Consider the following 13,235-nt stretch of genomic DNA (forward strand, 5'->3'; position numbering starts at 1 on the left):
CTCATCTACCAGTATTTAACACAGTTGATCACATTCTGCCGCCTACTCTATGTTATCTTCCAGGATACCACACTCTTCTGGTTTTCTTTCTTTTGCATTAGTGGCTCCTTTTCTGATTACTTTGCTGCTTCTTCCTCTTCCTCCCTGACCTCTTAACGTTGGAGTACCCAAAAGTTCAGTCCCAGCCTCTTTTCTCTCTACCCTTAATCCCTAGGTGATCTCATCCAGACTTTTAGATTTAAACCATACACATCTGATGACTCTCAAGGTTTTTTGGGTGTTTTTGTTTTTTGTTTTCTTTCTTTTTTTTTTTTTTTTTGGTGTTTTTTGTTTTTGTTTTTGAGACAGAGATCTTGCTCTGTCACTCAGGCTGGAGTGCAGTGGTGCCATCTCGGCTCCCTGCAACCTCCACCTCCTGGGTTCAAGCAATTCTCCTGACTCAGCCTCCCAAGTAGCTGGGATTATAGGGGCCTGCCACCATCCCCGGCTAATTTTTGCATTTTTAGTAGAGATGGGGTTTCACCATGTTGGCCAGGCTGGTCTTGAACCCTTGACCTTTAGTGATTCACCTACCTTGGCCTCCCAGAGTGCTGGGATTACAGGCGTGAGCCACTGCGCCTGGCCTGACTCTCAGGTTTTAATCTCCAACCCAGACCTCTTCCTTGAACTCCAGACCCATATATCCAACTTTTTTAATTAAAAGATTACAGATGCTTCAACTTTGACTCTGCCAAAACTGAATGCTGATGTCCTCTCACCCACAACCTGCTCCAGCCAGTATTCTCCACCACAGTTGATTGCAACTCCAACCTTCTACTTGTTCAGTTGACTTCTCTACAAAGTGGAGAGTGGCCAGAGTGATTCTCTTAAACATAATTAGGCCACATGCCTGGCCAACATGGTGAAACCCTGTCTCTACTAAAAATACAAAAATTAGCCGGGCGTGGCAGCAGACACCTATATTCCCAGCTACTCCGGAGGCTGAGGCAGGAGAATTGCTTGAACCTGGGAGGCAGAGGTTGCAGTGAGCCAAGATCGTGCCACTGCACTCCACAGCATGGGTGATAGAACGAGACTGTCTCATAAATTAATTAATTAGGCCATGTCACACCTCTGCTCAAAATTGCTCCCTGCTCCTCTAAAGTAAAAGCCAAAGTCCTGAGACTGGTCCAAATGCCCCTGCATGATCTGACCTTCTGTCACCTCTCTCACCTCCTTCCTCAGAAACATCAGACACTGGCTTTTCCACTGGCTGTTCTCTTTCCCTAGAACACTTAACCCCAGTTGCCTACATGGCTAATTTCCTCACTTCCTTCCACTTTTTTTCAACAGACATCTAGATGATGCCTACCCTGACCAACCCTTTAAGCTGTCATTCTCTCTCCACCCTCCTGTACTAGCATTCATGATCATTATTATAGCACTCTTTTTTCCATATAATTCATTACTTTTTCTAAAATGCTGAAGGAGTTTATTTATTAAAGTTATTATTTACTGCCTACCTTCTCCCACTACAACATAAGCTCCCAGGGGCAGATATTTTTGTCTGTTTTGTTCTGTGTGAAGCCCAAGAGGAAAACAAGCACTCAATAACTATTTCTTAAATGAATGAACATTTTTTAAGAAGCTCAAAAATAAACTAAAGGCATCCAAAATTTAAATATTAAAGTTACCCAAACCTCTACTCCTTTACCATAAGATCTGGGTAACTAAAGAATAACCTCTTTATTAAGCAGCTAATTTTCCTTCACTTTCTTACCTGTATTCAAATCTACGCCCACAAGTTGTTTTGACTCGACATGCTCAGCCTGAACTTTTACTAATGTTTCCTGTGGGTCATAACCAGCATTCTGAGCAAGAACCTTTAGGAATAAAAATAATAATATATATTATATATATATGCATAATACCTTCACATATATCAAATATAAAAATACTCTTTACTCTTGTAAAAACACATCCATAACATGGCAATCATCTCCTTTTGAAGAATTCCACTTTTAATCTAAATCAAATTATTATTTCATCTATCTAGTAGTTTTTATATTTACTTAAACATTTCCCCTATGCACGTCACACTAAATTCTGAGGACATCAGAGTTCCCCCATTTTTACCCTACTACATTAATTTCCCTCCTTGCAAAAGGTTTGTTTTGTTTTGTTTTGTTTTTAGTATGGAAGGAAGTAGAATGATATTCTTGTTTCCTCTAGTGCCGCTAGCCACATGCCCTCCAGTTCTTCATAGGCACTTGCTAAGGAAACCAGAATATTTGCAGCACCTTTGTGCCCCTCATCTTCATGAGGAGAGTCACGACCTGTGGTAACAGGGTTGGAGATACCTGCACTCCAAACCAGGCTCACTTCCAAGTGGCCCCAAATCACCAGCTGATGAGGAAAAAGGTACCACCAATGTAATGTGTACTGGGGTTACCAATTTCTGTCAGCAGCAGGATCATACTGACTTTGCTGCTCTGGGGAAAGAAAAAATAGCAAATCTAATTCACAAAGATTTCACAAATTATGAAAAATTTTAATAAAAATTAGCAAAGAGATTTTGCTAACATTGTTAATAATGTTTTAATTCATGGTAATAGCATCTTTGAAGTAGTTTTACTATATTTCTAAGGTGGTTTGAAACCAATTAAGGCAAAGACAAAGGAATGGTCGCTTTCTGTCCTTAGGTTGCCACATGGAAAAATTCTGTTTTCTCTTTTTCTAGGAATTATAATGATGATGACAAATGTAAGGTTGTATCTAGGAGTGCTAAAGAGCCTCAAGCCCTCCCTCTCCACAATTTAAATTGATTACATTTGGATACCACTAACAAAACAAAGATGTACCACAAAATCTAACTAAATTTTAAATTCTAAACTTTTTCATTATGATTAGTTAATCATGAGTCATTTCTGAAGGAAATTTTTGGAGCTGCTTTAATTTTTGGAACTCAGAGAAAGAAGCAAGGGGGTAAGTTGGCTATTTCATGAGATCGTGCAAGGATCCTGGGCTGTTATCGCAAAAGTTTCCCTGCTTTAGTTGTAAAATATCTAAGAGAAAACTGTGTAAGGAAATGCACATAAATACCTGTCTACTCCATTAACTATCAGATAATATGGGCAATTTGTAATTAAACACCTTTATGTCTAAGCAGTTGTTATTTGGCCGAAAGGGTAGTTGTACCTTGGGAATAATGAGTAAGGCATCAGCAAAAGCTTGGACTCCAAGACGAGCTCTTCCTTTTATACTGTTCTTATATGTAACAAGAGCTTCAGCCATTGCCACTTCAATTGCACCAGCTCCAGGAACCATACAACCTATTGGAGAGAAAAAATATGATTGGCAAGACATGCCATAAAGACCAAAAGAGAGAGAGAGACAGAAAAGCAATTCACTATTTAAGTATGTTCTATTATCTACAGAAACCAAATAAATTGCACAGCTTAGTAATTACTCAGTTATCTTATGAAACATCCTGAAGTTATATGTCATTAAATAAATAGGCATAGTACAGATAACTGGCTGCAAACAGCTTATTTTGCTCCTTACCCTCTGGTAAACAAGAATAATTTATTTTTACCTTCATCTTACTCTTTTATAACTACTTTTTTTTTCTGAGATGGAGTTTTACTCCATCACCCAGGCTGTACTGTAGTGGCATGATCTTGACTCACTCCAACCTCTGCCTTCCAGGTTCAAGTGATCCTCCTACCTCAGCCTTCTAAGTAGCTGGAATTACAGGCGTGCACCACCACACCCAGCTAATTTTTGTATTTTTAATAGAGATGGGGTTTCACCACGTTGGCCAGGCTGGTCTTGAACTCCTGACTTCAAGTGATCCACCCACCTCCGTCTCCCAAAATGCTGGGATTACAGGTGTGAGCCACCACACCCGGCCTTATGACTACTTTTAAGAGGTATTTATAATTTATATTGACAGGTAACTGATTACAATATCTGACATGAAAATTCTTTAGACCAAGATCATTTGTCTAGTTTTTGATAGGGAATTCTTGGAACTCAATGAAGTATTTGTTTTTTGTACTGCAGCAGAACTCAAACTGCTATCTAAGAAAAAATTTAAGTGGTATTATTCTAAAGCAAGAGTTTTGGTTAAACACATCAAATTTCACATCAGGATATCACTTTTATATCTGCTACTTGTATGGTTTCATAAAGTTTATGACTCTTATTTAAATCAGAAAACTTGCTTTAAAACAAAACAATACGAAAACAATCTCCCCTTTTATCTCACATCATTTTAAAATTACTACCCCCTTTCACTGCTTCACTTCACAACATAACCGCTCAAAGAGTTGTTTACCCACCAGATGATTACATCATTACCTCCCATTCACATTTTTTAAAAGTTCCTTGTTAAATACAGAATATACTCAAAAGAATATTTATATGTATGATATAAAGAATAAATGCACAAATAAACAAATGTATCCATGTACCTACCACCCAGCTTAAGAAAGAGATTACTAGAACCTTTGAAAACTTCCCTGATCCCATTCTCTGTGAAAACACAACATATCAAAATTTTAGCATCCCTAAAGCAGTACTTAAAGAGAAATTTATATCACGAAACACCTATATTAGGAACGAAGAAAGTTCTCAAACTAATGACCCCAGCTTCCACCTTAAGAAACTAGAAAAGGACAGGGTCTGGTGGCTCGCTCCTATAATCCCAGCACTTTGGGAGGCCAAGGCAGGTAGATCACTTGAGCCCGGAAATTCAAGACCAGCCTGGGCAACACAGTGAGACCCCATCTCTACAAAAAACACAACAATTAGCCAGGTTTGGTGGCACACACCTGTAATCCCAGCTACTTAGGAGGCTAAGGTGGGAGGACTGCCTGAGCCTGGGAAGTCAAGGCTGCAGTGAGCCGTGACCATGCCACTGCACTCCAGCCTAGGTGACAGATCGAGACTCTGTTTCAAAAAGAAAAAAAAAAAAAAAAAACTAAAAAAGGAAGCACAAATGAAACCTAATATAAGCAAAAGAAAGGAAATAATTAGGATGAAAGTGGAAATTAGTCAAATGACAAATGTCAGAAATGAGAAAATTTATATCACTACAGATTCTACAGATATTAAAAAGAATAACAAATGAATATTATGATCGACTTTATGACAATAAAGTTGAAACTGTTGATCAGAAGTTAGTAAACTTTCTGCAAAAGGCCAGTTAATATTTTTCAGGCCATACCATTTCTTTTCCAACTATTCAACTCTGCCACTGTAACACAAAAATAGCCACAGACAATATATAGACAAATGAGTATGGCCACATTCCAACAAAACTTTATTTACCAAAACAGGCAGCAAATCAGATTTAGCTCATAGATAGTAGTTGATGATCCTAACTTAGATGAAGTGGACAAATTCTTGAAAGACTACAAACCACTAAAGCTCACTCAAAAAAAACAAAACCTTTATAGCCCTACGTCTATTAAAAAAATTGAATGTGTCATTAAAAGCTTTCCCACAAAGAAAACTCCAGGCTCAGATGGCTTTATTGACAGTCTACCAACATTTAAGAAAGAAATAATACAAATAATACCAATTCTCCACAACAACTTTACACTTTCAGAAATTTGAACAAGAAGAAAAACTTTCCAATTCACTCTATGAGTACAGCATTGTTCTAACACCAAAAAAGATAAAAGCATTACAAGAAAAAATATACACAGACCAATACCCCTTATGAATACATATGTAAAAATTCTTAACAAAATTTTAGCCAATTAAATCAAATAATACATAAAAAGGAGAATACACATAGTACCATTATTCACAATAGCCAAAAGGTAAATGCAACACGTTTCCAATAATAGACAAATAAAATGTGGTATATACATACAATAGAATATTATTCAATGGTAAAAAGGAAGGAAATTCTGGCACATGCTACAACATGAATGAGCCTTGATGACACTATGCAAAGTGAAATAAGCCAGACAAAGGACAAAAACTGTATGATTCCAATTATATGAGATACATAGAGTAAACTCATAGAGACAGAAAGTAGAATGGTGGTTACCCAGGGCTGGGGAGGTGGGTAGGGAATGGAGAGATATTGTTTAATGGGTTCAGAGTTTCAGTTTTGCAAGGAAAAAAAGTTCTGGAGATGGGTGGTGATAATGGTTAGACAACATTGTGAATGCACTTACTAACACTGAACTGTACACTTAAAAATTGTTAAACTGTAAATTTTATGTTATGTATATTTATCACAATTTAAAAAATAATTTTAAAAAAATGTAATCCATTAATTTTTTAAAAAGTAAAATGCATTATAACTAAGTATGGTTTATCCCAAGAATGTAAGGTTTGACATTTGAATCAATCAATGTAATTTACTGTACGAGAAAACTAAACGAGGGCTGGGTGCAGTGGCTCAGGCTTGTAATCCCAGACCTTTGGGAGGCCAAGGCAAGCAGATCACCTGAGGTCAGGAGTTCGAGACCAGCCAGGCCAACATGGTGAAACTCCATCTCTACTGAAACATACCAAAATTACCCTGGCATGGTGGTGCATGCCTGTAATCCCACCTACTCAGGAGGCTGATGTAGGAGATTCGCTTGAACCTGGGAAGCAGAGGTTGCAGTGAGCCAGGATTGCGCCATGGCACTCCAGCCTGGGCAACGAAGTGAGACTTCATCTCAAAAGAAAAAAAAAAAAATCATATGATCATCTCAATAGATGCACAAGAAGCATTTGGCATTTATTCTCGTGTGTGTGTGTGTGTGTGTGTGTTTTGACAAAAAACAACAACAACAAGAAGTTTTACTCTTGTCGCCCAGGCTAAAGTCCAGTGGCACGATCTCGGCTCACTACAACCTCCACCTCCCAGGTTCAAGCAATTCTCCTGCCTCAGCCTCACGAGAAGCTGAGATTGCAGGTGCCTGCCACCATGCCCAGCTAATTTTTTTATTTTTAGTAGAGACAGTTTCACCATGTTGGCCAAGCTGGTCTTGAACTCCTGACCTCAGGTGACCCATGCACGTCAGCCTCCCAAAATGCTGGAATTACAGGTGTGAGCCACCACGACCAGCCTGGCATTTATTCTTGATTAAAAACTGTCAGCAAACTAGGTGCAGAAGGGAGAACTTCCTCAACCTGATAAAAACCTATAGCTAACATCATACATAATGGAGAAAGATTGAATGCTTTCCCCCTAAGATCAGCGATGAGGAAAGGATGTCCATTCTCATTATTTCTAGTCAACATTATACTGGAGGTTCTGGCCCATGAAATAAGGGAGAAAATTTTAAAATATCCATATTGGAGAGCAAAAAGTATAACTGTATAGCAGACAATGTAATCACTTATATAGATAATTCAATGAAGCCTATAAGAAAGCTAATTGTGATTTAGCAAGGTTGCAGAATTCAAGATCAATGTACAAAAATAAAATATATTTCTATATATTAGCAACTAACAATCAGAAATGGAAATTTTAAAAATAGCATATACAATAGCAACAAAATACATAAAATATATAGAGATAAATATGGAAAAAAGTATGTGAGGCTCATATACTAAGATCTATGAAATATTGCTGAGATAAATTCAAGAAGACTCAAATAGATAAGATGATATTCATGAGTTAGAAGGCTCATTATTAAAATATCAACTATCTCCAAATTGGTCTACAGATTTAATAAAATTCCAATCAAGCAGGGTGTAATGGCTCACACCTGTAATCCACGCACTTTGGGAGGCCAAGGCGGGAGGATCGCTTGAGCCCAGGAGTTTGAGACCAGCCTGGGTAACAACATAATGAGACGTTGTCTCTACAGAAAATAAAAAAAAATTAACCAGGCATGGTAGTGCATGCTTGTGGTTCCAGCTACTTGGGAAGCTAAGGTGGGAGAGTCACTTGAGCTCAGCAGGTCAAGTCTGCAGTGAGCCATGATCACACCACTGCACTCCAGCCTGAGTGACAGAGTAAGATCCTTTCTAAAAAAAAAAGTTCTGATCAAAATCCCAGCAGCAGTCTTTTTGGTAGAAATTGACAAGCTGATTCTAAAATTCATATGGAAGTCATATGGAAATGCCAAAGACTTAGAATGACCAAAATAACTTAAAAAAAAAATGAGAGTTAACAATACTGATTTCAAGATTTATTATAAAGCTACAGTCGTCAGGACAGTATGATATTAACATTAAAATAGACAAATGCATCAGTAGGACAGAAAAAAGAGCACAGAAATAGAACCACACAAATATGAAAAACTGATTTTTTATACACGAGAAAAGGCAATTCGGTGGTGAAAGTAAAGTCTTTTCAGCAAATAAGACTAAAACAATCTGATACCTTTATATGAAAAAAATGAACTTGTATCCATACTTGCACCATATACAAAATTTAACTTAAAATGAATCACAGACCTAAATGTAAAACATAAGACTGTAACACTTTTAGAGGAAAATCTTTATGACCCTAGGTTAGGTAAAGATTTTTCAGATACCACACCAAAAGCATAATCCATGACAGAATAAAAATAATAAATTAGACTTCATCAAAATTAAGAACTTCTCTTTGAAAGGCACTGTTAATAATAAAATAAGCCACAGAGGAGAAAAATTTGCCAATTATATATCTGAAAAAGCACTTGTACCCAAATTATATACAAAGAACTCTCAAACTCAACAATAGTATACTAACACAAATTTTTTTCTTTTCTTTTCTTCTCTTTTTTTTTTTTCTGGAAACAGGGTCTCACTCTGACGCCCAGGCTGGAGTGCAGTGGTGTGATCATAGCTCACTGTAACCTCAGACTCTTGGGACTCAAGTGATATTCCTGCCTCAGCCTCCTAAGTAGCTGGAACTACAGGTACAGGCCACCACGCCTGGCTATTTGTGTGTGTGTGTGTAGAGGCATGGTCTTGCTATGTTGCCCAGGCTGGTTTCCAACTCCTGGGCTCAAGCAATCCTCCCATCTTGGCCTCCCAAAGTGCTGGAATTACAGGTGAGAGCCACTGTGCATGGCCAACAATCCAATTATTTAAAAGGGCAAAAGATTTAAACAGAAAATTCACCAGATATACAAAGGGCAAATAAACACATTAAAAGATGCTCAACATGGGCTGAATGTGGTGGCTCGTGCCTACAAATCCCAGCACTCTGGGAGGCTGAAGGGGGAAAACTGCTTGAGGCCAGGAGTTCAAGACCAGCCTGGGCAACATAGACAGAACTCATCTCTACAAAAAAAAATTAAAAATTAGCCAGGTGTGGTGGCATGCACCTATCGTCCAGCTGAGGTGGGAGGATCACTTGAGCACAGGGGTTTGAGGCTGCAGTGAGCCATGATTGTGCCACTGCACTCTAGCCTGGGTGACAGAGCAAGACCCTGTCTTGAGAAAAATATATATATGTGAGGTTTGCAGCCAGGCGCAGTGGCTCATGCCAGTAATCCTAGCACTTTGGGAGGCCAAGACAAGTGGATCCCTTGAGCCCAGGAGTTCAGGACCAACCTTGGCAACATGGTGAAACCTCATCTCTACCAAAAATACAAAAATTAGCCAGTTTCAAAACCTGGTCTCAAAAGAAATAAATAGATTAAATAGATTAATAATAAAAATAAAATTTAAAAAGACTTAAAGGCCAGGCATGGTGGCTCACACGTGTAATTTCAGCTCTTTGGGAGGCCAACAAGGGCAGATCGCTTGAGCCCAGGAGTTCGAGACCAGCCTGGCCAACATGGCGAAACCCCATCTCTACTAAAAATACAAAAAATTAGCCAAGTGTGGTGGTGTGTGCCTGTAATCCCAGCTACTTGGGAGGCTGAGGCAGAAGAATCACTTGAACCTGGGAGGCAGAGGTTGCAGTGGGCTGAGATCGCACCACTGCACTAAAGCCTGGGCAACAGAGGAAGACTCTGTCTAAAAATATACATATATACATACATAGGTGTGTGTGTATATATATATACATATATACACACATATACATGAGGTTCATATCAATCACAAGAAAGAGCTTACCATCTTCAATGGCATTTTTGATAGCACGAAGTCCATCTCTTATGGCATCCTTGACTTGTGTGAGAGTATGCTTATTTGGTCCTTTAACCAACAAGGTAACAGAGCAAGGGTTAACACACTCCTCAATAAAAGTGAACTTTTCTTCACCCTAAAGGGTGGCACAAAAATATATAACTTTAATATTTGATGTCATTATAAAATCAACAATTTATACTAGAATACAATCTTCATTTGAATTTTTCTTATCAAGCATAACTAAGGGAGTTAAGTTATATCTGAACTCTTAACAAACATTTAGGTAAATAAACTGTAAAATCTGTTCTGTGAATTAGATCTCAAAACACAAAACATGAAATAAAAGGTCAAGTAGTATTTTTCTTTAAAAAAGGGGGCTTAGTATTCACTTTATAACCACTGTTCATAGAAATACTCACTAATGTATACTCATACACAAGACCAGCATGTCCCAAGCAATCTACAGTGAGATCTTCAAAAGAATTCACGGCCATTCCACCACAAGCAAGAGAGAGTCTGAAATTACATATATGTCACCATAGCTTGATTATGGAGAACATTAATACTAATTTCTCAGAGAGAAGATATCTAATGCAGAAGACTGTATTGTTACTGTATTGTATTGTTTTGGGTTTTTAATTGTCTAATAAAATTGTCTATATTTATCGAGTACAACATGATGATGTTTTTAAATATGTATACACTGTGGAATGGCTAAATTGAGCTAATTAACATACATATTGCCTATGTGAGGCTTGATTTAGCCATTTGTGTGATAAGAACACTTAAAATCTACTCTCAGCATTTTTCAAGAATCCAACACATTGTGCATTCTCGGGTGGGTTTGCAAAAGATTTTTAAAAAGAACAATATATTGTTATTAACTACAGTTGCCATGTTGGACAATAGATCTCTTGAATTTATTCCTCCTAACTAACTGAAATTTTGTATCCTTTGACCCACATATTCCCAGTGCCCCTCCCCTCCCACTGCCCCAGCCCCTGGTAACCGCCATTCTACTATCTACTTCTATGAGTTCAACTTTTTTAGATTCCATATATAAAAGTGAGATCATGCTGTATTATGTTGTATTGTTTTGTTTTTAAAATCTGTTTTAAAAAGATAAAAACTTTCCTTATACTTCAACAAAGTTCTGCAGTAGGTTAACAACCTTGCTTTTTGACAGTTCAATTATTTACTGAAACTAAAAACAAAATTTGGATTTTTTTATGCCACTGTTTTGTTCAACAACATTTACACATAAGCTAAAAGGAAAACACATGGGATAGTTTCCATTTACTCTGTTAAAAACTTAGGATATATAATTATCTGCAAGCTTACCTTTCCATATTTCTTCTTTTTGCTCTGCGAAGAGCTACTATTCCATGTTTTGCAAGAGAATCTAAGGAAAATGGATCAATTCCCTATAATCAAATTAACATAAAAATTATAAACATGTTTTAAACCAGTATTTCTCAAACCTTTTGGTCTCAGCACCACTTTACTCTCTTAAAAATGATTAAGCACCCAAAAAGCTTTTGTTTATGTAAGCTCTATCTATAATATTTGTATTATAAAAACTGAGAAATTTTTAAAATATTTATTAATTCATTTAAATAATAAGCCCATTTTATGTTAATACACATAACATTTTAAATGAAAATTTACTACACTTTTGAAAACAAAAATATATATAGTGAGCTAGCAGTGGCATTACTTTACATTTTTGCAAATCTCTTCAATGTTTATCTTCATAGAAAACAAATGGATTCTCATATCTCATTCAGTATTCAATTTGGAATGATATGTTATTTTGGTTCAAGTTTATGAAGAAAATCTGGCCCCACACAGATAAATATTGTAAAGGGAGTAATATTTTAATAGGCTTTTCAGATAATTATGGAAATTCTTCTTTGATACTATACCAAAACTCAGTAAGTAATAGTTTCTCAAAGGTTAGTTTCACTATGGAACCATAGCAATGAACTTTTCATACTATCTCACATTAAAACACATTGCTGTAACTTGCACACTGAATGGATTATTTATCCATGTATGATTTTATAAAAATCATGCATTTTTAGTCATGTAGATAGCATCAGTTCACTGAGTTAGGCAAAGTTTCCACATGTTGACACATTTCATATATAAAATGTTGTGTTATACATGTAGAAACTGTGTCATGTTATGCATGTGGAAACTTTGCCTATCTCAGTGAACAAAAACTCACATTTGTTAATATCACTACTATTATCAGGAAAGTCTTTTAAGTATTGGAAAGCTGTCAAGTTCACATGGCAGATACAAGTTTTCTGAAATTCTAATTTTTTAAAAAAGTTCAAATGTTATTGACAACAAATACTGTCAGTTGTTTTAAGTCACAGAATTTCCTCATTCATTTTTGAGAGAAATCTACCAAATACCCATATCTAGATAACCACAGTTTGTCTGTCAGTCATTCTTCCAGGTAAAAGTGGCATTCCATGAAAAAGTGGCTAGTTTACCTTGCAATTTAAACAATTACACAAGTGCTCTCCTTCAAGACAACCATCATATTTTGGTATGCAATAGAAGAGCTTTGAAGTTCCCAGCCCCATAATCCCAACACTTTGGGAGGCCAAGCCAAGAGGATCACTTGAGACCAGCCTGCACAACATGGCAATACCCAGCCTCTACGAAAAAACTTAAAAATTAGCCAGGCATGGTGATGCACACCTGTAGTCCTGGCTACTTGGGAAGCTGAGGTGGAAAGATCACTTGGGCCCAGGAGGTCAACGCTGTAGTGAGCTATGATGGTGCCACCCAAGCACTCCAGCTTGGATGACAGAACAAGACCCTGTCTCAAAAGAAAAAAAAAAAACAGTGCTTTGTGCATACTTCATATTTTGTCACACATAATAATAAAAGGATGCATATTTCAGAATCAAAATTTAATAAATTAATAAGTTTTACCACTTCATCAAGACACTCTTAAATGATACTGCCTTTTTTTTTTTTCACTGTAAGTTTGCAGTGGTATAGCAATAAAGAATGCGATGACTACTAGTATAGTTTGGTGCTACTTCTTTGACTTGTACTAAGGTGCCAGCAGTTTTACAGATTGCTTTTGCAGCATCATTGCAAATGTCAACACAATGTAAAAGGTGTAATTATTATTATGAAAATAGTTTTTGACCTCACAGACTCTCTGAAAAAGTCTTAGGGATTCTTAGGGGTCCACAGACCAC

General features: G+C 37.0%; 1 protein-coding gene across 3 annotated transcripts in view; it reads right to left on the minus strand.

Moving 5' to 3' along the window:
- CCT6B (chaperonin containing TCP1 subunit 6B) overlaps window positions 1–13,235 on the minus strand; it is a 33,600-nt gene that overhangs the window by 1,329 nt on the left and 19,036 nt on the right. For all 3 annotated transcript variants that reach the window (NM_001193530.2, NM_001193529.3, NM_006584.4), the window contains 5 exons: window positions 11,350–11,432; window positions 10,428–10,524; window positions 9,994–10,141; window positions 3,178–3,311; window positions 1,760–1,862 (listed from right to left, as the gene is read on the minus strand). In NM_001193530.2, the coding sequence (NP_001180459.1) occupies window positions 1,760–1,862; window positions 3,178–3,311; window positions 9,994–10,141; window positions 10,428–10,524; window positions 11,350–11,432 (565 nt within the window). The remainder of the gene's footprint in view (window positions 1–1,759; window positions 1,863–3,177; window positions 3,312–9,993; window positions 10,142–10,427; window positions 10,525–11,349; window positions 11,433–13,235) is intronic.

This window comes from Homo sapiens, chromosome 17 (genome assembly GCF_000001405.40).
Source record: "Homo sapiens chromosome 17, GRCh38.p14 Primary Assembly".
Classification (NCBI taxonomy): domain Eukaryota; kingdom Metazoa; phylum Chordata; class Mammalia; order Primates; family Hominidae; genus Homo; species Homo sapiens.